This window comes from Homo sapiens, chromosome 1 (genome assembly GCF_000001405.40).
Source record: "Homo sapiens chromosome 1, GRCh38.p14 Primary Assembly".
NCBI classification, from domain to species: domain Eukaryota; kingdom Metazoa; phylum Chordata; class Mammalia; order Primates; family Hominidae; genus Homo; species Homo sapiens.
The window spans coordinates 245476363-245504303 of NC_000001.11; the positions used below are offsets into that span (position 1 = coordinate 245476363).

General features: G+C 42.9%; 1 protein-coding gene across 1 annotated transcript in view, besides 1 other annotated feature; it reads left to right on the forward strand.

Annotated features, from left to right (window-relative positions):
- The window catches only part of KIF26B (kinesin family member 26B), a 554448-nt gene that overhangs the window by 321378 nt on the left and 205129 nt on the right, over nt 1-27941 (forward strand). The window lies entirely within an intron of this gene.
- Nucleotides 7551-8314: an enhancer, noted in NCBI's record as "OCT4-NANOG-H3K4me1 hESC enhancer chr1:245647215-245647978 (GRCh37/hg19 assembly coordinates)". NCBI's record gives its function as "activates a minimal SCP1, AML or CMV promoter by ChIP-STARR-seq in naive H9 embryonic stem cells {active_cell/tissue: H9 hESC(naive)}" and the evidence as "EXISTENCE:reporter gene assay evidence [ECO:0000049][PMID:30033119]".

Consider the following 27941-nt stretch of genomic DNA (forward strand, 5'->3'; position numbering starts at 1 on the left):
TATGAAAAATCACTTAGCTGTATACTTATGGTGAGCTTTATGTTATGTGAATTTTATCTCAATATTAATTTTAAAATCCAATGAAGGGCAAATTTATATTGTTTTTGGCTTTTAAGAAACTGTCTTAAAAGACACATTTATTTATTTATTTATTTATTTATTTATTTACTTACTTACTTACTTACTTACTTGAGACAGGGTCTTGCTCTGTCACCCAGGCTGAAGTGCAGTGGCGTGACCTTGGCTCACTGCAGCCTTGACCTCCCGGGCTCAAGTGATGCTCACACCTCAGCCTCCCGAGTAGTTGAGACCACAGACACATGCCATCATGCCCAGCGATTTTTTGTAGACATGGGGTTTCACCATGTTGCCCAGGCTGGTCTGAACTCTTGGGCTCAAGTGATCCGCCTGCCTTAGCCTCCCAAAGTGCTGGGATTACAGACGAGAGCCACCGCACCTGGCCACCCCTTTTATACTTTGTTAATGGAGAAGTAAATAAACAGCCAGGGTGTAAACAATACATGCACCCCCATAGTTCAAAGGGACAATGGAGCATATGTGTTGATGTGTCTGAGAAAAACAGAAAAAATGCTTGTCCCTGGAATGATGGAAAGAATTGTTACACCTTGAGAGGAGAGGTCAAGGGTGGAAGTCTGAAACAGGTGTGGGAGATGATATTTCTAAGAGTGAGCCAGTACGTTTCTGGCAAAATAAAGACTTTAGCAGGCTACTAGTTTGTAAAAATTAAACTGCAAAACTGGAGCTGGTTTCACCCTTATTTTTTAATTATGTGGGATTAGTCATTTGTGCTTGATGCTCCCTCTTAGCTCAGCCCCATTTCTCTTTTCTAAATAAAAAACACTTGGTTCTAAATCCTGGCTTAGAAAGCATATTTTTGAAGCTCAAGACAGAAAATTCATTTGTTTGTGCATTCAGCAAATACTTTTCAAGCATGCACTGTGTGCCGGGCACTGTCCCAGGCACCTGAGACACACTGGGGAACCAAGACGAAGATTCCTGCCTTCAGGCAGCTTAGATCCTGGTGGGGGTGGGGGATAGGAAGGGGCAGAGACAGATCATCCACCACAAACACAGTAGGTTAGTCAATCCTGTGGCAGATTGGAAGGTGATAAATGCTATGGAGAAAAAAGAACAAGGTAGCGCAGGTACGGAAGTGGAATGGTGCAGGTGGCATGAGTAGCCAGGGTCCATAACATGGTGAGATTTGGGCAGAGGCATAGAGGAAGTGGGGGAGCTGAACCAAGCAGGTGTCTGGATATCTCTGAGGGAAAAGCATTCCCAGCAGAGGGAACAGCAAGGTTAAAGGTTTGAAGGGAGAGCGGGCCTGTCATGTTCAAGGAACAGCAAGGAGTCCAGGTTGGCTGGAAAAGAGACCGAATGGTAGCAGAGCAAGTCGGGGAAGTCTCAGGAGGGTCAGAGTCTATAGGGCCTAGGAGGCCATTGTAAGTACTTGGCCTTTTTAACAATTTAAATGTAATTCATATACCATAATATTTGCCCCTTTGAGGCATATAATTTACTGGTTTTTAGTCTAGTCATCATACTGTGCAAGCAGAACATTTTCTTCACCCCAAAAATAAACTTTATACCATAAACACACACCCACACACGTCCCTCTTCCAGCCGCTGGCACCCACTCATCAACATTCTGGCTCTACGGACTTGCCTATTCTGGACATTTCATATTAATGGAATCATACAATACGTGAACTTCTGTGTCTGCTTTCTTTCACGTCACATAATGGTTTCAAAGTCCATCCATGTTGTAACAAACATTATTAGCACCTATTCCTTTCTGTGTCTGACTAGTATTCCATGGTATGGATAGACCAGTTTTTGGTGATGCATTCATCAGTGGATGGACATCTGGGTTTTCCCACGTTTGGCTGTTGTGAGTGATGCTGTGATGAACGTTCATATCCACGTTTCTGTGGGGGTGTGTTTTTCTTTCTTGGGTGTCTGCCGAGGAGTGGAAGGACTTGAGCATTGCTTTTCTCCTGTGTGAAATGGGAACCATCGCAGTGTTTTCACCAGGATCTGACTCGCATTTTTTTTTTTTTTTGAGACGGAGTCTTGCTCTGTCGCCCAGGCTGGAGTGCGGTGGCGCGATCTCGGCTCACTGCAAGCTCCGCCTCCCGGGTTCACGCCATTCTCCTGCCTCAGCCTCCCGAGTAGCTGGGACTACACCACGTCTGGCTAATTTTTTATATTTGTAGTACAGATGGGGTTTCACCGTGTTAGCCAGGATGGTCTCGATCTCCTGACTTGTGGTCCACCCGTATCGGCCTCCCAAAGTGCTGGGATGACAGGCGTGAGCCACCGCGCCCGGCCCTGACTTGCATTTTAAAAGGGTCGCTTTGGCTGCCTGTTGGGTATCGACTGTGGGTGAACAGTGAGTAGCAGGAAGGAAACCAGGCAGGATGTGATGGCAGCGACGTGGGTGAGAGTGGTGATGGATCAGACCAGGGTGGGAGCAGTGAAGGGGTTGACAGATTCTGGATGTATTTTGAAGATAGCCAATAAAATTCTTGATTACTGTGAGAGAAAGTAAGGTTGTGAGAATCAGCCCGAGGATTTTGGCATAACCTGTTGGAAAGATGGAGCTGCCATTAAATGAGATGGGGAGGGGTCCTGAGGGATCAGGAGCGCAGCTGAATGCACCGAGGTGGAGATGCCTACTAGACATCAAGAGGAGACGTCCAGCAGAGGGCTGGATGGATGAGTCTGGAATTCAGGAAGCAGCCTGGGCTGCAGATATAAATTTGGGAATCATTGGCATCTAGATGGCATTTAGAACCCTGTAACTGAGTAAGATCACTAAGGCTCCCATTTATTCAAAGGACAAAACAACATAAATGTTGACAGAGAGTAATAATCTTTTCTATTTATTGAGTTCCAACAGTGAGCTCCTGTTATCACTAAAAACAGACATCGCAGATAAGCTTCTCCAGAAATACATATTTCAACCTGGTTGAGCTATAGGCACCCAGGGTATATCTACAGAAGCCAGGTATTAATATCTTAGAGGCATATGCATCAATATCGTGTGAAGTCTTTTTTGTTAGCTCTTTTCTGATTATGCTTTCAGAGTTTTTTTGTTGTTGTTGTTATATTTTTGTTCTCCCATGTATACCTTGGTTTGTGATCAGTGTGTAAAGGAGGAGGAATGGTTGTTTGGTTGAGACATTTGCAAATAGTAAGCAGTCACCTTACCTAACTTGGCTAATTTGCATTGTTTCCATACAGAGAATGTAGTTTGACAGTCAAGGATGATAGAAAGTCAGAGGATGATAGAAAACAATCCTTTCTTCATACAGATTAAGAAGAAGAAATGAATAATCTAAAGAAAGAAATAACAACAAGAGACAGATGGGATGCTGACTGGTCCAGAAACCGTCAGGTAGCAACAGTTGCAAATCTGAGGGAGTTCAGCCTGGAGAAGACCAAGGGGAGAGAGTAGAAAGGATACTCAAATATTTGAAAGGACACAGGCTTCTTTTCTGTTGCTCTATATAGAACTAGGATTCGTGGATAAGGATTGCAAATAGACAAATTTCCACTTAAATAAGAAAAAACTTTCAAATAATTAAAGCTGCCCGGCCAGGTGCAGTGGCTCACACTTATAATCCCAACACTTTGGGAGGCTGAGGCAGGTGGATCGCTTGAGCCCAGGAGTTTAGGACCAGCCTGGGCAACATGGCGTGACCCTGTCTCTCCAAACAAACAAACAAACAACAAACAAAAAACTAGCCTAGTGTGGTAGCATGCACCTGTAGTCCGAGCTACTTGGGAGGCTGATGAGGGAGGATCACTTGAGCCTGGGAAGTCAGGGCTGCAGTGAGCCATGACCGTGCCACTGCACTCCAGCCTGAGCAACAAAGACCCTGTCTCGGGGGGGAGGAAAGAAAAAAAACTGCCGAACTACATGCAGGGTGGGATTGGGCATGGTACCTGGGCCAGCCTGTTGGCATAACATGTGGAAGCGGGTGACCCACAGTCAGGGGTCAGTCTGAGGGACTGCCATACTGGGCTAGGGCCTCTGAGTGCTCTGCCAGCTTAGGGGTTCCATGATTCTCAGCAGATTTCCAGCAGGTGTTTGAGGGTTTCTGCATTCAGTGACATAAACAGGCCCTCGTGCTTCTGTGGGTTATAGGCCAGCTTGGTACCGTATAACCAGTACATCAAGAGTTGAAGTGTTGCACTAATGCTTTCCAAGAGTCAGAGCTGGCAGAGTGACCGGGTATACAGGCAGAGTTTGTACTCTTTCCTTTTAGAAACACACTCTGCTGTCTGTACCTGAATTGTTCTCACTCTGTGGAGGACTTGGGATTCTTGATGTTATTTATCTTATGTGTTCCAAGTGCTAAGTAGTTTAATCCTAATACTTTTAAAATGTTAAAAAAAAAAAAAAAAGAGAGAGAGAAATGTTTAAAGTTTGGATAGAAACCCTTAGAATCATTAAATATTCTCAGTGAAAGGGACCACAGAGGTCATCTGGGCCCATTTCCTCATTTTATAGAAAAGGAGTCTGCAAGATCCAGACAGCAGTTCACCCAGATTAGTTGGTTGATTCAAACTTTCCCTTCCTATTTCTCTCTACAGTGTTTTATCTACAATTATATTATATTTAAGATTTGGCAACAATGACCATATGAGAAGTCCTTGTAATATGCCAGGCACTGTGCTGGCCGTGCGTTGTGCGTGCATTTTCCTATTTAAAATGCCACCTATAAGTGCCATCTTTGGAATATTTGTCCTTTAGAAAGAAGCATCTGCTTCAAACCAATGGCAGAGACAAAATGGCTTTTCTCTTATCTTTACTACTGTGTGGATTTCTCCATAAACAAGAACTGGCAAAGGGCCTCATAACAGCTCTGTGGCCCTCTCTGGGCTCAGAGAATGCCCGTAGCCACCAGCCCAGCTGGCAACAAATGGTTGCAGGTTCTGTTTCCATGTTTCAGTCAATCTGTCTAGAGAACAATGGAACTCCTGAACCATTCCCGTGCTCAAATGTAACGTAAAAAGGACAATATAAAATATCAGGCTTCTGTGTTTGAACTGCTCCCCTGGGGAAAGGAGCATGGTGGTTGGGAACTCAGCATTAAACAAGGAAACTCGATGTGTATCCAGCATCACTGAGTGCTCAGGTCTGCAGACTGCAGAGAGATGTAATGCTTATTCCTGTTCCCACATCTTTGATCTTTTTGCGTGAAGCTAATATTTGAGAATTCTTTATTTCCCTGGAGTGTCAAACCTCCTGTCAACTCGCCATAAAGACAAGGAAGAGATTTCCTTTTTCAACAAGTGAGGACAGATGTGGCCAAGCGTTGATTATTATTGTAAGAGATGAATACAAATGTTATCATTACTGAGTGCTAAGCTTTGTTTATTTCTTCAGAATTCCCCTAGTGCCTCTGGGCTGGGAATCTCACCCACAGACCTTGATCAATGTCCCCTGGCACTTTGAACAGTCCTTGGTTGGACCTGACAGCACGCTCCAGTCTTACCTTTCACTGGTAGCACAGCAGCGTCTAACCGATAGGGACTCTTCTTGGCTCTGTGTGTACTTTTACCATCCTAGATAATGAAGACCAGAGCCAAGGAAGAGAAAGATAACAAACGAGAGAGCATATTTGATTCTAGGAGATTTGACTGAAGATGGAGATGGTCAGGTAGGCAATTCAATGGGGAAAGACACTTATTTTTTATTTATTGACTTATTTTTTGATACAGAGTCTTGCTCTGTCACCCAGGCTGGAGTGCAGTGGCACGATCTCGGCTCCCTGCAACCTCTGCCTCCTGAGTTCAAGCCATTCTCCTGCCTCAGCCTTCCTAGTAGCTGGGACTGCAGGTGCGCACCACCATGCCTGGCTAATTTTTGCATTTTTAGTAGACGGGGTTTCACCATATTGTCCAAGGTGGTCTCGAACTCCTGACCTCGTGATCCTCCCGCCTCAGCCTCCCAAAGTGCTGGGATTACAGGCATGAGCCACCATGCCTGGTCAAGACACTGATTTTTAAGTAAGACCTTCCAATGAGTAATCCTTTATAATCAACATTAGAACTAGACGAGTATTCAGAAATGCATGTTGTTTTATATGATAACACAAAGGACTGAATACAAACATCATTAACCAAGCTCTTCTGAGAGCTTGGGGAAAAAGCTGCCCGAGGGTACCCTGCTTTGTGTGCATGTGATATGTTCCATCTGCCTGAAATGTTCCTTTGAAATAAGAAGCGAGGGCACAGCTGGGTAGGAGAGGGTTGGGAAGGGGCCCATGGAGGACTCACCTCACTGATGTGCTGTGGAGGTTCGATGAATACATTCCCCGCTTCCCTCCTACCCAGTGTGGCCTGATGATCACGACTAGTGTTCCTACCAGTGAATGGTTCACCCCGAGGCAAATGCGTTCCCTAAGGAAGATATGTGCTGTGAGTTTCCAGTTGTAAGAAGCCAGTGGAGACACCCAGGTAGTCTGTGTTGTTGAAGCCTCACGATCTGGGAGGGCGGTGTGATGAATCCCGGGCAGCCACACACAGTTTCCGGCAATACCACATTTCATCAATTCCGTGTTAGAACATTGAGTCCAAGCTGTTGGAAAAAGCTTCCCCTTCAGGTGTGAGGAGGCCCAGGCAGCAGATGCCAGGACTCACACTCCTGGGCATCATTTATTTTGGAAGTTGGGGAAGCAGGTGCCGGACAAAGCTCTGGGTCGTCTTCTTTTGCATCCCCTCCAGATCTCACAGGGTTTCATGGGTGCCCTGTGTTTGATGTTCAGTGTGGAATCCAAGAGCCTGGTGAGGAGAAGCTGTCTCAGAACCAGTCACAATAAAAATAATGATCCACAGTTAACATGCATAGAGCATTTGCTTTGTCTCAAGGCATGTGCTGGGTGCACCATTTTCATCCTCACGGGTTCTGCTAGTGTCCTCATGCATAGATGAGGAAAACAAAGCTTAGAGAGGTCAAAAGAGCTGTCCGAGGTCACCCAGCTGGGGTTGCAATCCAGGTCTGCCTGACCCCAGAGCTCCAGCTCTGAACCTCTGTGCTTCCTGACCTGGCTTCAGTGCCTGTGAGTGTCACAGTCTCACCACAGCTGGTGTTACCATAGCTACTTAACAGCTGGTGTTGGGGGAGCGGGGAAAGTGCAGAAATGAAGTTTGCGTTGTTAACAAGAAATTTTGCTAATTAATTTTGGGGGGACACATTGAGCAAGTCCGCCCAGGTGCATGTTCCCACGGTCCCATTCCAGTGGGCAGTTGAATGCACACGTATGCATGAAGGGCGTGGGTAGTGAACTTGTAACAGCAGAGGAAGCAGAAGGTTAAAAGGAGAAGCTAAATACACCTCAGTGCTGGAACGTTCATTTTGCAGATTTTTGTCAGGTTTGGCAGAGAAACCTCCAAGCTCTAATCTTACAGGGCGACTACTTGGGAATCAATCGGGAAGCATATTTCCTGTTACTTTAGTGTAGCGAAGGCTTCTCCTCGTTCTTTTCTACTCTTAGTAATGTATTAGTAAAATGTGTTTATGAAAATCTGAGTTTCCTCATTCCACCTTTATGTTTTTCCTTATGTCTTTATAAAATCTGTAAGTTAGTTTCCTCATTCCACATTTATGTTTTTCCTCATTCTAATGCCCTCTCTTGAATTGTTAGTTCTTTGCTTTAATGACGCTTTGTTAGGCCTGGGCTGATCCCACGCCATTTTTTTATTTCTTCTGGTTTGATTTCTGCTTACACCTCAAAGATGTTTACCTTCATATCTTCTCTTTCCCTTTACCTGTGACCTCTCTGCCTTGCCTCTCTTAATAAGTGTTAATAATGCTGGGTTACACTTTAACTCACTTTGGGCAGTATTCTAAATCTTAATCTCTTCAAAGGAAGTGCTAATGAAATGTCCCACCATTATGTATCTGTGTTCTCTTACAAATGCAGATGAAGAGCCATTCAATGGAGCCACATAACTGCCTTTCCCATCAAGCCTTGAACTGCAAGTAAAGGGGCCTGATTGTGAGGAGTCAGACTCACCATCTAGGTCGCCTGACAGAGGCCCCTCCTAACCCTGTCCCTGGACACTGTAACTTCTCTAAGACATTTGATGGTGACCAGGCACTCCACTCGTCCATGTAGTTTCTGGGATGGATTCCTCTCTGGAATATTAGACTGCCTCACAGATTAAACTGCTAAAGGAATTTTGCAGCAAAATGAAATAGATTTTGGAGCATTGTTTGGAGATTGGAGATTTGGACTTTGTTCCAAATTGCAGATTTGGAGATTGTTCCAACAATTTGGAGCTGCTTCTCCTCCTTCTTCTCCTTCTCCTTCTTCTTTCTTCTTTCCTCCTCCTCCTTCTCCTCTTCCTCTTCTTCTTCTTCTTCTTCATATTATTATTATTATTATTATTATTATTCTTTTAATTCTTCAAAGGAGAAGCTCCCAAGAGAGTCGATTTGTGTGAGAGGGCCTGTGACTGGGCCCCTGAGAGTTGCTTTTTTTTGAATTAACTGGGATAACAAAAGACAAGCAGGCATCTTGGTATTTTAAGTGTGTTTTCCCAATGGAAATAGAAATAAACACAACACTGACCAAGTATTCAACAGAGGGATGGCTAAACAAACTGTGGGGTATACATGGAATAGAATATTATTCAGCAATGAAAAAGGAATGTCATTCTGACACATGCTACAACATGGATGAACCTTGAAGACATTCTACTAAGAAGCCAGGCACAAAAAGGCCAATAATATATAAATCCACTTAAATAGGGGACCTAGAATAGGCAAATTCATGCAGACAGAAATAGTGATTACCAGGGGATGTGGGGAGGGAGAATGGGTAGTTAATATTTAATGGGTACAGAGCTTCAGTTTGGGATATGAAAAAGTTGTGGAACTTGATAGTGGTGATGGTTGCAAGACATTGTGAATGCACTTAATGCCACTGAATTATACACTTAAAGATGGTTAAAATGGTAAGTTTTATGCTATATTCCTAGCATCATTTTTTTTTTTTTTTTGAGACAAAGTTTCGCTCTGTCACCCAGGCTGGAGTGCAATGGCGTGATCTCGGCTCACTGCAACCTCCACCTCCCAGGCTCATGTGATTCTCCTGCCCCAGCCTCCCAAGTACCTGGGATTACAGGCGCCTGCCACCACTCCTGGCTAACTTTTGTATTTTTAGTAGAGACGGGGTTTCGCCATGTTGGCCAGGCTGGTCTCAGACTCCTGACCTCAAGTGATCTGCCCGCCTCGGCCTCCCAGAGTGCTGGGATTACAGGCGTGAGCCACCGTGCCTGGCCTTCAAAAGTTTTTAAATGCTGCATGTGAAGGTAACCTTAGGAGAAAACTCTTCTGCTTCTTATAAACTGGCGATGCTGTGTAGCCGTTTTCTGTGATCCCAGAGCCTGCAGGGCAAGGCTTTCAGAGGGCACACGGTGCCCTTTCACACGAGTGATGCTGACATTTTCTCCAGAGCTGTGATGAATAAATAAATGAAGGAAGGAGTTAAGATTCCTTACTACTTTGCATCTTGGTCAATAGTCAGTTTGTCTTCTGGTTAAATATGAGTATTTTTCGTGGTGGCAACCCCGTCCTCCAGCTGCTATTCTTACATATACTGGCATTTACTTAAGTGAGCCCTCTTTTCAAACAGGACCTGACCTTTCCTAAAGGAGCTTTAAAGAAATCCATATTTCCTGATTACAAATAGAAAACAGTGTGCTTTCTCAAGGGTTAATGTGGGCAAAGCAAAGCAATGTTGGTTCTAATTTAAGCACATAGTCTTTAGGCTTCTTTCGTAATAGTTCCCTTTTGTCCATTTGGGCTGAAACTGCTTCAGTAAGCATTTTATGAAATCAGTGAGAAACTCCAGAAAAAGGCTTCTGCCTCTTTTTACGAGGGTCGTATTTGGAGCAAAGGAGGGAAGAAAAGCATCTGTCAATTTGATAAATCATTTTCAGGAAAGAAGAAGTTTCAGCAAAGTATAAGATAGAGTTGGCAATTTAAGGGAGGAAAAAAAAAAGAGAGGAGACCATCACATATAGTGCTATATAAATGGTTTCTATAGAGAGCTTTTAAATATGTAAAATAATTTCATATATACTATCTCATTAGTGCTCACGGCAATCCAGTAGTTATTATAGAGCTTTTAAATACGTAAGATAATTTCATACATATTATCTCATTTAGTGCTCACAGCAATCCAGTAAAGTAGTTATTACTTTATGGGTGAAGAAATGAAGGTTCAGCTTTATTTTATTTCATTATTTATTTTACATTTTTTATTTTAATTAAATTTTTTTTTGGGACGAGGTCTCGCTCTGTCACCCAGGCTGGAGTGTAGTAGCAACAATCACAGCTCACTGCAGCCTCGGCCTCCCAGGCTCAAGCCATCCTCTCGCCTCAGTCTCCCAAGTAGCTGGAACCACAGGCACATGCCATCATGCCTGGCTAACGTTTCCACTTTTTGCAGAGACAGGGTCTCGCTGTGTTGCCCAGGCTGTGGTTCAGCTTTAATAAGTGGCTTGCTCAAGGCCTCACAGCCTGTAAAAGAAACTAAACTTTTGCAGAGCTTCCTTCCTGTCCATAGAACTGTCCCAAAGTCGGACGTCCTGGGCCTGAGGCACGGGTTTGTCACAAGGGGTGGCTCCCAATAGTAAACCTTCATGGCTCCCTGTATGTGTGGAATGAGTCTCTAATTGTGGAGAATTGAGAATGGGGGGGGTGGTTAGAGTCCCTTGAAGTGTTTTGCCAGTGTAGCTTGTGTCGTGATACCTCTTTGTGTCATTGTAAGTATGATCATGCCCACATCTTTCTGACATGGTCTTTTGCATCTGAATTTGCAGTTTCACATTTAACAGATTTAAACAGATTGGTGGCCCATATGTATCTAAAAGAGAAACATGTCATCTCCAGGACCAACTATATCATTTGCAGGGCTCAGTGCAAAATGAAACAGAGGGACTCTAGCTCAAAAATGATTAAAAGTGTCAATGTAGCAACAGCAGAGTAGGCAACCAAGCACAGGGCCTACGTGCTGGCCAGTACTCTAGCCTGGAAAAGTGCAAGACCTTCTGCAGGTGGAAGCTTCACAGTGTGCCTTCAGGGTCTGCTTTTGGGCTTTCTGCCAATCTGGCTACATACTTACCCTTTGACACAATCAAGGGCAAAGAGTTAAAGGAAAGGTAGTCTTGAGGCCTGAACTCTCTTCTAACCCTATTTTTTTTCTTCTTTTGAGACAGGGTCTCAGTCCATTTGCCCAGGCTGGAGTGCAGTGACACAATCTCAGCTCACTGCAGCCTGGACCTCGGCTCAGGTGATTCTCCTACCTACGCCTCCCGAGTAGCTAGGACTACAGGCACATGTCACCACATCCAGCTAATTTTTTTTTTTTTTTTTGAGACAAGAGTCTCGCTCTGTCTCATTTGCATTTGCATTTCAGACGCGCCAGGCTGGAGTACAGTGGCGCGATATCGGCTCACTGCAACCTCTGCCTCCCAGGTTCAAGCAATCCTCCTGCCTCAGCCTCCTGAGAAGCTGGGATTATAGGCGCCTGCCACCATGCCCAGCTAATTTTGTATTTTTAGTAGAGATGAGGCTTCTCCAAGTCGGCCACGTTGGTCTCGAACTTCTGACCTCAGGTGATCCACCCACCTCAGCCTGCCAAAGTGCTGGGATTACAGGCATGAGCTGCCACGCCCGGCCATGTATCTTTTTAAGTACAGGTGGAGGTCTCATTATGTTGCACAGGCTGGTTTCAAACTCCTGGACTCAAGCCATCTGCCCATCTTGGCCTCCCAAAGCACTGAGATTACCAGCGTGAGCCACCACACTGGCCAACCCAGACTTTCCACTGGTACACTGTCTTCATTGCTTTGATAGCAACTTTTAGGCTCCCTTAGCTTTAAAAAAGAATCCTCTAACCATATGGGGAAAAAAAAAAATCAGCAACAACTTTGTACCCACCTGACATTCGGCCAGAATTTTTCCAACAGAACCTAACAATAGATATGCTCTCTGAAAACTCTACCCAGATCGTACACTCCTTGCTGGGTAGGATTGTTTCAGAGGATATGAAGGACAAGGGACTGAGCCATGACACCTGTCACTTCCCGTCTGAGCAGTTCCTGAAGAAACAGCCCCCGGGGAATGAACTACCCCCTCTGCCTCGGGGACAGGCACCTCCTGGTCCACATCCATCCCTGGAATTAGATCGGAGCCACAGATGCTATCACTCCTCTGCCGTGGCCCCATCCTCCTCTGTCTGGCTTTTGATGAACTGAAGACTGGGGTCCGGGTTGTAATGGAGACTTAGAGTTGAGTGAAGCATTTTAGCTTTAAGAAGATTATTATAATTATCTCAAGGCACTGAAGGGCTGCTTCATTTGCATTTCAGACACTAAAATCAGAGGGCAGATCTTTAAGAGGTTAATTTTGTGAGTGAGTCCTTAATAACAGAGGGACCAAGACTCGATTCTTTATGCCTTAGGCTAGGTTTGCAGTTGGTAGATGCAAAATATGCTGATAAGATTAAAGCTCCTCTAGTGACTCTTAAGCCTCAGGCTCTTTTATTTGCAAATGTCCTGCACCCTCCATCTCAGAGAACTCTCTAGGCTCCGGTACTCTAGAATCCCTTACAGTGGATTTGCATGGACAGGAAAGCGAATTCTCATCTCTTCCAATCACTGCAAGACATGGAACGGATAGTCTGGCGGCACGTCTGGCAGCTGAACCTCTTCACTGAGAATCTAGGTAAAGGCCACTTACTGATCATTATAAATGCGCTCATCATAAAGCAGTCCTTCTGGATTTCTGGCATTTTCTTGAATAAACTTATTGAAACACCCTAAGGAGAACTCAGACATCCTTTTCAACCCTCAGGAGCGGATAAGAGGATGCAGCTTCATTTGTTAAATTGCAGTTGCATGTCAGTTATGAATAAACATGGACTGGACTTCTGATGCTAATGTAGGAACGATATTTGTACCTCCTGGAAGTAACTCCTATAGCTCGTTTTCTTTTAAAATTATGCAATCCACAGTCAAGTCCTGGGGTACAAGTCTAAGAGGCGTCAGCCACACAAGAGGCTAAAGTGACTTTGGGGTAGTCTGCAAGTATCTCAACCTGTCATTTCTCCAGACATTCAGATATAGTACATTTTAAACACAGCACTGCCTTTTTCTTGAAATATTTAGTTTCAGTGTTAGCTAAGTTTGTGATTTTTTAATGCAGAAAAAATGATTTATTTTTAATTTCTGATTCCTCGTCGGGCTATGTATATGTAAAGTCCAGGGTTATGAGAAGGCAGAAGTAAACTTGCTGGGTAGAAGGCGTCATGGTATCATGTGATGTGGCTTAGATTAATATGGGCCAGAACACTTTCTCTTTAGACATTGCTAATGTTATTCTTATTCTTCTACTATTCACAATAATAGCTAACATTTACTGAGTGCTTACAGTGTGCTTGGAACTTTGCTGAGAACTTTATACCAATTATCTGAGTTTTACAGAAACATTTTAAGGTAGATATTGTTAATATCCCAATTTGACAGAAGGAAGAAACAGGAGTTCTGGGCAGGTAAGGAACATGCCCAAGCATTGCTCACTAATAAATGACTGAGCTGTGTGTAAACATAGTTCTTTCCACGTCCAAAGCCCATACTTGTAACCACTGCACTGCTGTTTGTAGATTTGTTCGACTCCTCAGAGCAGTAAGTCAGTTTCATCTTACTTGCCTGGCCTCTCCATTGAGTATTGAACTTGGCAGGAAATAGTGTTGGGAGTGATTTGTGATGTCTGAGATAGGTAGATCCAGTACAGAGGAATGTTGAAATTAGACTTACTAGTCCCATATTAGATTCTTCTCAGACTATCCACGAGAGACTTCTCCATGGACCCAATACCAACCAAGCTTCTGTAGAACATTTTTTTTTTTTTTTTTTTTTTTTGAGACAGAGTCTTGCTCTGTCACCAGGCTGGAGTGCAGTGGCGCGATCTCGGCTCACTGCAACCTCCGCCTCCCGGGTTCAAGTGATTCTCCTGCCTCAGCCTCTTGAGTACCTGGGACTACAGGCGCACACCACCACGTCCAGCTAATTTTTTGTATTTTTACTAGAGACAGGGTTTCACCATGTTGGCTGGGATGGTCTCGATCTCCTGACCTCGTGATCCACCCACCTCAGCCACCCAAAGTGCTGGAATTACAGGCGTGAGCCACCGCACCTGGCCTGTAGAACACATTTTTATTATGCAGTCCATGTTCATATGTCTAGCCTGTCAGTGGGTTACTTGTTAATAAAAAGCAGCCGTTTCATATTAGTGTCTCATTGAAAGCAGTGCCTGTTTTCCATTCATTCTACCTTGGATTTGTTTTCTTCCTCAATACTGAATTCTTAGAAAATGATATGTATGTTGAAAAATACTTGAGAATACCTGAGAACGGTTCTCTGTTGCATTTATTGCTGTATGTGAACCTGTCTATCAAGAATCCCAGGTGTTTTGTGATTTCCGTGTTTGTGAAATACATTAACTCTCCTTATGGTTGGAGAAATCAAAACAGTGCAGGTAAATGGTGTTTTGAAATATCTGTAATAGTAGCGAATAAGTCAGAGCCTCACAGTGCTTCATTTTTTAATGGAAAATTTGAACACATACCCACCTCTTCAGTACTGAAGAATTTTTTCCTGTTTGATTTTGTTGCTGAGATTGGAGTTTGTCCCATGAGAAATCACTGAACAGATTTAATTTTGTTTATTCTTTTTTTTTTAAGACAGCATATTTGTTCTCTACCAATATCATCCAAAGAATGAAATGAATTTCAACCAGAGATGTAGGACCTAAAAAATTTAGGTCAAAGCTTACATATAAGTGGCTTTGTCTTGCTGGCATCAGTATTTTCGTATTTCTCTTCTCAAAAGAAGATAACTTTATATCAATATTTCAGAATTCCATGTAGCCCACCCTACTGACTGCATTGTTGTCTGTTATGCTGATACAAAGATCTTTTGTTTTCCTTGCCTGGGATGTTCTGCCATATCTCAGATGGCTGGATGGACACAGGTGGCCTAAAATTCCTGTGCCAGATTCAGCATGATCCTGACCTAACTTGGCCTGGATCATAAAGTAAACCTTGGGGAATGTTCCCGTAGCCTGAGCGGGAAACACTGGCCTCTGGGAGCTCCTTATGGAGGAGAGAAAACGAGGAGCTGTAAACTGGACAATGGATTAAAACTCTAGTAAACTGGCTGGGGTGCAGTGTCTCACGCCTATCATCTCAGCACTTCGGGAGGCCGAGGTGGGTGGATCAACTGAGGTCAGGAGCTCGACACCAGCCTGGCCAACATAGTGAAACCCCATCTCTACTAAAAATACAAAAATTACCCAGGCGTGGTGGCGGGTGCCTGTAATCCCAGCTACTCAGGGGGCTGAGGTGGGAGAACCACTTGAACCTGGGAGGTGGAGGTTGCAGTGAGCCAGGATCCTTCCACTGCACTCTAGCCTGGGCAACAGAGCAGATAATCTCAAAAGAAAAAAAAAAAATCTGGTAAACTGAATTCCGGGTCAGATCTTCAGATCTTACCTCCTGTGTAACCTTGGCTAAGTTACCAAATTTCTCTTCACCTCAGTTTCTCTGACTGTAAAATGGAGACACAAGCCAGAAAATCTTTAAGTTCCTGCCAAGTTTTAAGAGTTTGAAGCTTCCACGATACTCTGTGCCCAGGCCCTTCCTGATGTCTGCTTTTACAGCGGGACAAGCAGCAATGCTGTTGTACTCTCTGCATCTTGGGGCTTGTTCCTCTGAACCCTTGAAGACAAGGGCTGAGCCGCGTCAGCTCTTTCCCAAAACACAATTTAAACCCTTCGGAGTGGTCAGAAATGCCACTTTGGGAGGCCTCCCTGGGTTCTCTGGGTGTTTTGTTGAAGCAGTCTCAGGTTCTCTAACGTTCTTTTTGTTGAAGATGATATCTACAAGCTTTATAAGCTTTCTTCTGATGGGGAGAGGGAAGAGGTTCTCTTAAATACAGTGTTCAACTATCAACCGTCATCTTTAGGGAGACCCTTCAATAACCTCAGTTTCTCTTTGTGTATAACTAGAGCTAATAAGAGAATGTGGGTAAATTGGGCTAAAACAAAGCCAACATTACAGTAGTTCACATGATATTTTTAAAAGAAAAACAAAGGCGGCACGCCAGACTAAATAAGGCTACCATGGCCACCGAAGTTTTGCATCAATTTGTGACCAAAGGACATTTTTCAAACTGACCTAAGCCAATTTGGTATCTGCAGTTATTTTTGGTCAATATCATTAGCCTCCCATAGTTCAAAGTAGGTGGGGCTATAGGTTTTCTCCTACAAAACCTTGTTTCCAGGTCATGTTACAAAGGAAATAAGTCTTTTATTTTTATTTTTATTTTTGGAGATGGAGTCTTGCTCTGTCGCCCAGGCTGGAGTGCAGTGGCGTGATCTTGGCTCACTGCAACCTCTGCCTCCCGGGTTCAAGCGATTCTCCTGCCTCAGCCTCCTGAGTAGCTGGGACTACAGGCGCGCCCCACCACATCTGGCTAATTTTTATATTTGTAGTAGAGACGGGGTTTCATCATGTTGGCCAGGATGGTCTTGATCTCCTGACCTCGTCATCCACCTGCCTCGGCTTCCCAAAGTGCTGGGATTACAGGTGTGAACCACTGTGCCTGGACAGGAAATAAGTCTTAAACCAAATTCTGCCATACTTACAAACGTGTAGCAAGCTGACAGGAAAAGTCCTACAATTCGTTTTGTAAACTTGATGAAAAGCCACGCCCCTATCCTTTTAGGCAATCCTACAGCATTTTACATAAAGGGTACCCTAGAGGCAAGTGCGGTTATTGCACTAATGGCATGAGCCAGATAATCATCCAGTTAGTCAAGCAGAGAAAAGTGCTCCTGGAATGACCTGAACAATGGACCAATCAGTTCAAATCCCTAATTTGATTAATTGGGCTTGCTGGATTTTATACAAGCAAGAATGCCTGCTCAATATTTCTAGCCAATCACTATATCTTGAACATAACCATTTTCACCAAAGAAAAATAATTTCTAACTGCCATGATTCCAGTTAAACTCTGCCGTTGACCAGTAATAGAGATAGCCAAGGCAGCGTGGCAACGGCCTTTGGAGTGTAACCTTCTGATGAGACTCTCAGATGATAACTTGGACTGGCCTAGGCACTGAGCAATCAGAACAGATTCTGGCCTCAGCTGATGCTGTGCAGAAGCTTCCTACTGAGCCAGAATTGTCTCAGAGAGCTGCCAAGGCAACCAGGTCTTGAGTGGCCAAGATCTGAGATAGAAGGGAACTATAGAGAGTGGAGAAGGTGCTTTTCTCTCCCTGTTCATCTGCTGAGAAGGCAGCAGAACTTTTGGCAGTATAATGAGGCTTAAAAGACAAAATTTGGGATTCAGACCTGCCAAGGCGGACAAGACTTAAGAGATCAAGATCCTGGGAGGAAGAGACAGAAAAGTGAACTGGATACTCCAGTCGTTGTCCCCTTTGAAGCATTTGCCAAATATTAGACTGTATACTGCAAGAGACTAAGCAAAAAAACCATTTTTAGTGGAGTTCTCAGTATCACAGTGCTAAGTGGAAAAAAAAAAATCACATGGCGGGGTGCGGTGGCTTATGCCTGTAATCCCAGCACTTTGGGAGGCCGAGGTGGGTGGATCACCTGAGGTCAGGAGTTTGAGACCAGCCATCACCAACATGGTGAAACCCCGTCTCTACTAAAAATACAGAAACTTAGCTGGGCATGGTGGTGGGAGCCTGTAATCCCAGATACTCGGGAGACTGAGGCAGGAGAATCACTTGAACCTGGGAGGCGGAGGTTACAGTGAGCCAAGATTGTGCCATTGCACTCCACCCTGGGCAACAAGACCAAAACTCTGTCTCAAACAAACAAACAAACAAAAAACAATCACATTCAAAGCTTAGCCAGGAGAAAAGGCGCTAGGAGATACCCCACTGGGATCCTTGAAGAATCATAACCTAAAAATAGATGTGAACCTGAAGTAGACAAGCGATACAAAATCTCAGTGAGCTCAGTCTGGGATTGGTTTAGCTTGATCACTCCCATTCAGCTGCCTACCAGAGGACTGGGCGAACGATCACTGAAGAAAGATGGGAGTCTCTACCTTTCTCATAAGTTGTTTCAATGAAAAATGATCAAGCATACCAAGAAATAAGCCTAAAAGAAAAAAAATAGGCACTGGAAAGATACCCATAATTTACTGGCATTATCAGACATAAATTTCAAAATATCTGTGATTCATATGTTCAGGAAGATAAATGATACAATAAAGAATTTCACCAGAAAATGGGAATTCATAAAAAGAAACTGGGGCCAGGCGTGGTGGCTCACACCTGTGTAATCACAGCATTTTGGGAGGCTGAGTTGGGCAGATGACTTGATCCCAGGAGTCCAAGACCAGCCTAGGCAACACGGTGAAACTCTGTCTCTATAAAAAATACAAAAATTAGCCAGGCATGGTGGCGCACACCTGTAGTCCCAGCTACTTGGGAGGCTGAGGTGGGAGGATCACCTGAGCCTGGGAGGTCAAGGTTGCAGTGAGTCAACTTCACTTCAGCCTGAGTGACAGAGATCCTGTCTCACAAAAGAGAAAAGAAAAGAAAAGAAATAAAGAAAAGAAAAGAAAGAGGAAATTCTGGAACTTAAAAAATGAAATAATGGATATTAAGAACACAACAAGTGGATCTAATAGCAGATTAGATTTAGTACAAGACAGATTCAGTGAAATGGAATGCAAATCAGTTGAAAATATCCAGAGAGATACATGGAGAACAAAAAGGATCAAAATACAGAAAAGAGCAGAAGAGACATATGGAACACATGTAACATATAATTGAAGGCCTGGAAGAGGGGAAGAGGGAATGAGGCAGAAGCAATATATTTTTCTTTTTCTTTTTAGTTGACACATAATAATTGTACATATTTGTAGGTACATATTTATAGGATACAAAGTGATGATTTTGGTATAGGTGTACAATGTGTACTGATCAAATCATGGTAATCAGCATATCTATCAACTCAAACATTTATCATGTCTTTGTGTTGTGGACATTGAAAATCTTTTCTTCTAGCTTTTTGAAAACATACAATAAATCATCATTAACCATATTCACCTGAGAGTGCTGCAGGATGCCAGAACTCCTTCCTCCTACATAGCTATAATTTGGTCTATAGTTTGGTATCCATTAATGAACCTCTCCCCATCCACCTCTCCTTCCTACCTTTCTCAGCCTCTAACACCTAAAATTCTACTTCAAAATGTGATTTAAGAAGCCCTGGCTTGCCCCAACCAGGATATACACAGAGAAAACCACAGCTGGGTACAATGTAGTAAAACTGTTGAAAACAAAAGCCAAGGAGAAAAATGATTAAAGCCGTGAGAAAAAAATTCATTATTTTTAAAGGAGCAACACTAAGACAGTAACTCATTTCTCAACAGAAACAATGGATGCCAAGAGACAATGGAACGTCATATTCATGGGTTGAAAGAATGTAACCGTCAACCTAAAAGTTTACAAACTTAATAAAGATATTCGTCAAACATTGAAGTGAAATAAAGACATTTCAGGACAAAAATTGAAAGAATCCATCATCAGTAGACCAACACTAAAAGAAATACTAAAAGGAAGTATACGGATAGAAAGAAAATGATCCCAGAAATGCAGGAAGGAATGAAAGCTGACAGAAAGGGTCAACATGTGGTTAAGTTCAAATGTATTAAGAATATGAGATGTATTGATGGCTGGATAGAGGGATGGATAAATATGTGATAAAGTAAATGTAGAAAAAATTTTCACATGCAGAAATGTGGAAAAATTAAAGAATCTGGATGAGGGGCATATGGGCCATTCTATTTTTGTAAAATGTTCAGAAAATAAATATAGGGCAAATATAAATGAACATTGACCATATAAAAGAACAAAAATGGGGTTTTGTGGGCACTAAAATATATGTAGCATTAAATGCATGACAAAAACAATACAAAAAGTGAAAGGGGGTAAAGGGAGTTAAAGTGTAATAAAATCATAACATCTGGAAGTATTAAAACTCAGAATTTTACCAGACTATAATAGGTCAAGGACACATAATGTAATCTGTAGAGCAACTAGTAAAATAATGCATAAAAGGGAAAATAGAATGAAAAATACTTGATTAATCTAAAATAATTCAAGAAAGAAGAGGAAAGAGAACATAAACTAGGTGGACTAATAGAAAACAACTGTAAGATGGTAGCTATAAACTCAAGTATATCCGTAATTGAGTTACATGAAAATTGACTAAATACTCTAATTAAAAGATAATTATTGTTAGACTGTATTTTAAAGACAACAAAATCTAATTAAATACTGCTTATAAGAGACGCTTCATAAATGTAAGGACAAAAAGAAGTTGAAGATAAAAGAATGAAAAAAAGATATACCTTGTAAATGCCAACCAATATAAGCTGGCATAGTTCTAATATAAGAGAAAATAGACTTTTCAAGAATCATCATGAAGTCAGGAGTTCAAGACCAGCCTGACCAACATGGAGAAACCCCATCTCTACTAAAAATACAAAATTAGCTGGGTGTGGTGGCGCATGTCTGTAATCGCAACTACTCGGGAGGTTGAGGCAGGAGAATTGCTTGAACCCTGGGGGTGGAGGTTGCTGAGAGCCGAGATTGCACCATTGCACTCCAGCCTGGGCAACAAGGGTGAAACTCCATCTCAAAAAAAAAAAAAAAGATAAGTATCTTTAATTTATCATTAATGTTAAATAGCCAAAAATATACAGAATTAAAAGAAGAAACCAGTCTGTAATCATAGAAACAACATGTCTCTCTCAAAAACTGATAGAACAGGCAGACAAAAAATCAGTTAGGAGAGAAGATCTGAATCTCTCAACAATGACACAATTCATTTCCAAGTACAACTGGGACATTAACCAAAATTGACCATATGTTGGCTCATAAAGCAATTCTTGACAAATTTCAAAGGACTAAATTCATTCAGAGTACTTTTTTTTTGACCAGAGAGAAATTAAGCTGTAAATCAATGACCATAAAAATAGAAAATCACCAAATGTTTAGAAATTAAGCATTCTACTTGTAAATAACCAACAGGTTAAAGAAGAAATTTCAGTGGATTTCAGACAATAGTTTGAAATGAAATGATGAAAATTTTACACGTCAAGCGCTAACTAACCACTCACCCCTGAAGTGTGTATTCCTAAGGTACTTCAAATATTAAATAACTACTCCTATAATGTAAATTAATAACTAACCCACACATTATTATACTATGTATACTGAAGGACTGTTATTTATTTATTTATTTTAAGACAGAATCTTGCCCTGTTGCCCAGGCTGGAGTGCAATGGCGTGATCTCAGCTCACTGCAACCTCCGCCTCCTGGGTTCAAGTGATTCTCCTGCCTCAGCCTCCTGAGTAGCTGGGATTACAGGCATGTGCCACCACACCCAGCTAATTTTTATATCTTTAGTAGAGACAGGGTTTCACCTTGTTGGCCAGGCTGGTCTCAAACTCCTGACCTCGTGATCTGCCTGCCTTGGCCTCCCAAAGTGCTGAGATTTATTCTATCATATTATCATTCATCTCAAACTCCATATGTAACTTGCAGTTGATTTTTCAACATTCAAACATCATTTATTATTATCCATCAAATTGCCATCTTGTTCCATTTCCCTGCATATCTCCTTTCTGTGTAGAAGTCTTCCTTCTGGGAGCAGGACGAGGTAAGTGAGATGAGAGCCTGGGCTGTCACACTTTATATTCTAATATTTTTAACCCAATTTGCTTTAGTGTGGTCAGAGAAGCTGGAAATTGAATCAGAGACCTCAGGGGCAACTCAGGTGATAAGTCAGCCTGGATGTGAAGTTTATCAGTCTTGGCTCCGTGTGTTTAATTAGAAGCTAGTGGAATGTTATCATTGACTCCGCCAGCAAACATCTTCACTGGAGAGGCAGCTGGGTTAAGGAAGAACATGCTGAAAATAGAGCTTATGAACATAGCTGAAAACTGTTTATCCACAGCAACCAGCAGAAGTGAGGGGCGGGAGAGAGCCCAGCAGTTGGCAATCAGAGCGTGCATATAAGCAAAGGGATCATTTCTTCCAAGCTGTGTCAGAGGGCACTCAATCATGTATACTGAGCTTTCTTCCTGAAAAGATAGTTCAAATCTGTGTGGATTGTCAAGTTTTCTTCCTCTCCATAATATGGTCATTAATATTTCACTTCTTTTAGCCAGGAACTTTCAATAATTCAACATCTGCTCTTCCAGGCTGCCTGCAAGAAAGGCCAGTTTCCACCCACTGCCCTCCTGGGTTTGTCCTTCCAGGTACAGAATCTGAGAGGTACTGGGGAAAAGAGGAGGCAACGAGGCTAGTCTCTCACTCCTCTCTCTTCCCTACCTGTGTTTCTTGGACGGGTTCACATTCTTCTTGCATCAGATAGTAAATGCAGTCAAGGAACTGGTGAGGAAAATGGGAAGTTTTTTTGTGCATGTGTTAGATGGGAAGAGGAAAATTGGCAAGTGTTCTTTAAGAAAAGCAGACACAGTTACATTCATGAGGCAACCGGTTGCCAGACTAGTGTGACTCCTGAAGGAACAACTTGGATTGCCTTTTTTTTTAAAATCAGTTTTTATCTAGACCAAATCTCTTTTATTTCAGTGATGTCAAGCAGCTCATGTTACCTTCGCCCAAAGAGAAAGATGTATGGGAGCTTCAAACTCAGGACAATTCTCAATGTCCTTAGCGTTGACTCATATTAAAAATGTTAAGAGAACACTAGAATAATAGTGATGTGTGTGTGTGTGTGTCTGTGTGTGTTTGTGGTTTCCTTTCCTGGAAACCCTTTCTAGGATTAACCTAGGTTAATCCAACATAATGATAGTCTGAAGAGGTTGAATAAATCAGCCCAGATACGCAGGTGATTTAGCCAAGGCTACATGGTGAGTCTAGGGGCAAAGCCGAATAAGGGTGGAGTCCCTAATTCATAGCTAACCTGCACTGCCATAGTCTATCGGAAGTGAGGTAGAGATTATTATCTGATTTTATTATTCCGGGACACGTAAACTTGGCTGAGGACACACAGCTCGGAACCCTAGCCCATAGATAAATAGACAACTTTATAGAGTATAATTTGAGTAAGCCAAAAAGTTTCCACTTACATATATTCTAGACCTCCACTTTAAAGTAATTTGAGGGGGACAGAGAGGCAAAGTGAGCAGCATTTCTTCAGAAATCACGTTGTCTGGAAATAGCTCAGTAGTGCGCATGGCACTCCGTTAGCCAATTGCTGTCCTGGGCCTGGAGGGCCATAGAGCTGGACAGAGGCCTTGTTTTGTTTGGTTCGGTTTGTGCTTGTGGTATTCAGGCTGGTAGGTCTGATGGCTGGTAAAGTGCTAAAGCAATCATGGGTGCGAGGTACACAGTGGGGAATGTATCAAACGGTCACTTTCCTAAGGGAGACATTCTCCCCCTTCTAGGAATTTGCTGAGGGTTGGGCTGAGTGGAAGCGTTTCCTTCCTGCCTGTTCTCTGACTTCCAATGCGCACTTTGTTTTAGGCTGGATAGCTACACATCATCAATGAGATTGCAGACAGTCCCTGTGCTTGCTAAGAACGGTGGAAGGTTTTAGGACTACTGTGTCTTACATATTCATTGTCTAAGCCCCCAAGTGTACAGCATTCAAAGCTATTCCTTCCAGCTCTGAAATTTCTTTGGGTGAAAGCTGTCGACTTTCCTTAGAGGAAAAAGAAAGCCATTTCATCAGGGCACTGACCTCATTCCTGTAAGCTTGACTGGCTGAGCCCTGGGAGTGACACCTGTCCCAGTCTTTGGCTTTAGCAAGTGATTGATTTGAAGAAATGGTATTGGTCATTTAACCCACAAACTGATTCTGAAATAAGACTCATTTGTAATAAATACATCTCACATTTGAGGACTGAATTCTTCAACACACATTCCAAGTTTTGTCAGTTAGAAAAAATACAGTACTTTGTAAAGTATAAAATCCATAACTCTATATAACCCAAACAATAGGTTGAAAACTGGGTTTGTTGTAAGTAACGTATTAATAACACCTGGTGTAATACCTGTTAACATGCTCGGTGCCTGAAGCAAATTGGCAAGCGTTTCATCTCCTTTTGCCAATAACTTGTCAGAAACTGACTGAGGGTTCCTTCCAAACTCTCAGAAGAACATCCAAGGCCAGGCAGCTTATGTAGCTCTTGAACTTCACCAGGGCGAGGGCTGGGCCCCGGCCAACTAGAGAAGCCACAGCTGAATCAGAGGAGGAATTCCGAAGAGCTGGGCAGGGGCCTCCTGATGGCGAGATGCTGAATGGGATAAGAATGTGATGAATTAATTGATTTGTATCTTACGCAAGAGCTGCAGTGAGGATGGTGAAATTCATTTCCTTCCATAGGTCCTGCCCCTTTCTTTGTAAGTCAGTCAGCAGCATTGCCAGAGCTGCCTAAAATGCCACCTCCATCCCCTGACAATCAAAGAGGAATCTTTTCATGCAGGCTGAGTTCTAATGACGAACTCATTAAAATCAAGACCACTTACTATGCGTATGTGATGTGTTATAAGCACTTTCAGATGCATGATTTTAAACATTCTGGCCATCCTGTGAGGTCAGTACCATATTATCCCCATTTCGTGGACAGAACAGTCGTTTAGAGAACTTCAGTAATTTACTCGAGGCAATCTGGTGTGAAAAGTTTGAGAGAGGACACTGCAACCAGGCCACCTGGGTCCAGATCTTGGCCTTGCCACTTACGAGCTATGTGACCTTGAGAAAAGGTCTTAACTTCTTTGTGTTTCAATGTCCTTATCTGTAGAATAAGGATAATAGTGTTGCGGATGTCACAGAGTCGTAATGAGGGTTAAATAAGTTGATATATAGACAGCTCCGAGAACCTGGCCTGGCATATGGTAAGGACTAGCTACTTATTTGTGGTGGTGATTTGTTTTTACTCTGTGAGAGATTTGAACCCAGTTTAGTTTGATGCTAGGGTCAGAGTTCTTTGTCATCTGTTCTTAAGAAGCCAGTGGAATAAATATCTTCTTTCTCCTACATTTACAAAGAGATGATAATCCTGCTTTAGAAGAGTTATCATGCCTGCAGAGGTATCATAGAGATTAGTTTTTATCCGCAGAGCACTTTTTAATTGGAGGATAATTGCTACACTGGACTAGTGTGGTAGTAGGAATTCATATCAAAATTAGACTTTGTGACTGAAAGTGTAAACAAATGCATTCTTGCTAAGACTAGCCACATATTTAGAGGCATATAGCAGTCTGAAATAATTCTATTCCTTTGTCAACACACAGACGGAGGACCGTTGGGCCTTTTGCTAAATTTGGCTCTGCTGCACTTCCGTCTTTAGAACTAGGCAATTGCTTCATCATGCCTACATTGTGCTACCCTGATATTTTGGTACCTACTGCACTGCCGCACATTCATGGGACGCCAGCTGTACCATCTATATAATAATCTGAGAACTTGGCCATTCACCATCCAAAGTTTTCATACAAACCAATGAAGGCGGCGTGCACTTCAGATGAGCAAACACCAGACCTGTAGTATAGGTGGACAGATAACTAGATTTTGCTTTTCTGATAAAAAAGGAATCTTGTCTGTTGTTTTAGAACTACTTTATATGGACAGTGAGTGCAGCATGATTTCTTCCAACTGGAGATTTAATGGAGACCTGGATCAAACATTACATACTTTGTTACATCTTTTTGAGAATGAGTTGGAGTGAGGGGATGTTATGTTGAAAAAGAAGAGGCAGGCTGGGAAGGGTGGCTCACACCTGTAATCCCAGCACTTTGGGAGGCCGAGGTGGGCAGATCATGAGGTCAAGAGTTTGAGACCAGCCTAACCAACATGGTGAAACCCTGTCTCTACTAAAAATACAAAAATTAGCTGGGTGTATTGGCGCACGCCTGTAATCCCAGCTACTCGGGAGGCTGAGGCAGGAGAATTGCTTGAACCCAGGAGGGGGAGGTTGCAGTGAGCCGAGATCCTGCCACTGCACTCCAACCTGGCAACAGAGCGAGCAAGATTCTGTCTCAAAAAAAAAAAAAAAAAAAAAGAAGAAGAAGAGGCAACACTTGTCTTGGCAAACCATGACTAGTTTAGACTGCAAGCTCAATGAAGATCAAAACTAGGTTGGTCTTGTTTTGTTTCAGGCACTCTCTGTATGTATTTGTTGAATGAATGAATGAAAATAATAGTTATGATTATAATATTATCTAAGTATGAAGAACATGCCTCTGGATCAGTAAAGACACATAAAATGGTAGGAGGGTTAAAGAACATCAGTGGGTACCAACTGTTTTGTCATGACAGGGGGATATCTCTGAAAAATTTCTGTATTAATTGGAAAAGAAGCTTATGGTGAACTTTTTTTTTTTTTTTTCGAGATGGAGTTTCGCTCTTGTTGCCCAGGCTGGAGTGCAATGGCGCGATCTCAGCTCATCGCAATCTCTGCCTCTCGGGTTCAAGTGATTCTCCTTCCTCAGCCTCCCGAGTAGCTGGGATTACAGACATGCGCCACCACCCCGGCTAATTTTGTATTTTTAGTAGAGACGGGGTTTCTCCATGTTGGTCAGGCTGGTCTTGAACTCCCGACCTCAGGTGATCTGCCCGCCTCGGCCTCCCAAAGTGCTGGGATTACAGCGTGAGCCACCGCACCCGGCCATGGTGAACTCTTTTTAAATGACACATAAAATTTCCTGATTTGTCTTTTAAAAGTTACATCTAGATTTTCATGTATCATTTTTCTTATAAGGATAGCTAATTAATATATAGATTTTATGTATGGATTTTCATATTTCATGTATATAACATGAATTAAACTGTTATTTGTATGAAGTGCCAAGCTCCTTTTGGGTAGTACCTACCACCCTGTATATACCACATGCCAAATGAGTTTTTAAGATATTGGCATGTCCCAAATTCACCATTTACATTCTTGAAAGTACTTCCTTTGTTCCATACAGATCTAACTAAATATTAGAGGTATCTGACCTTTTATTTTTTGAAAAAATGTTTGATGTTCTGACTATTTGCAACAAAAGAGCTCTGTTCTCAAATGCCCTGTATGGAGAGAATTTCTCGGTTCTTTTGAGAGGGATAAAAAACCTCTCTTAAGTCTGTGAGACTAAAGATAAAGGGCATCCCAGCACCATGTATCTGAGGGATAATGACTGTCCGTATCGGAGAGCTGGGCGGTGATGGGTGTGTTGGAAGCACCGGCTGGACCAATGGACTTGGAGCTAGAACTTGGTTTTGCTCTCGGCGTTGCCGCAGGGTGGCTGTCTTGCCTTATGCAGGTTTTGATTCTCTTCTGTAAGGATCTGGTAGCTATTCCAAAGCCAACCCATCTGTGCTATGGGATTTGATGCCACATGACTCCAGCTACCCTGGTAGGCCTTTCCCAGGCGTTGGTCAGAGATATGATCCAAAGGCTGTCTGTAGAAGATTGTTCTCTCCTGAGTGTTCTGATGCAGCCAGCACAAGGGTTTCCTAAGGAAAGGAACCTGGTCCTGCTTCGGTCGTTTTCGTATCCCCTAGGGGCTGCTGAATAAAGTACTAGTTCCCAAGCTTTCTGTCATATCTTCTCTGCACACTTCTGGAGTAGAGTGGGTGAGGGCAAGGCCAGGAGGTCAGTGCCACAGCGTGGGAAGAGAGGAGGCCCTGGGCCCTATTCTCTCTGGGGAGCTTTACATCACCCATTGCTCTCTCCATCTCCCCAGGGCCCAGATGGCTCCATTCTAGAGCTTCTCCTCCAACCCCTTCCCACCTTCCATCCCAAACACTTTCCTCTCTCCTTCTTGGTCTCT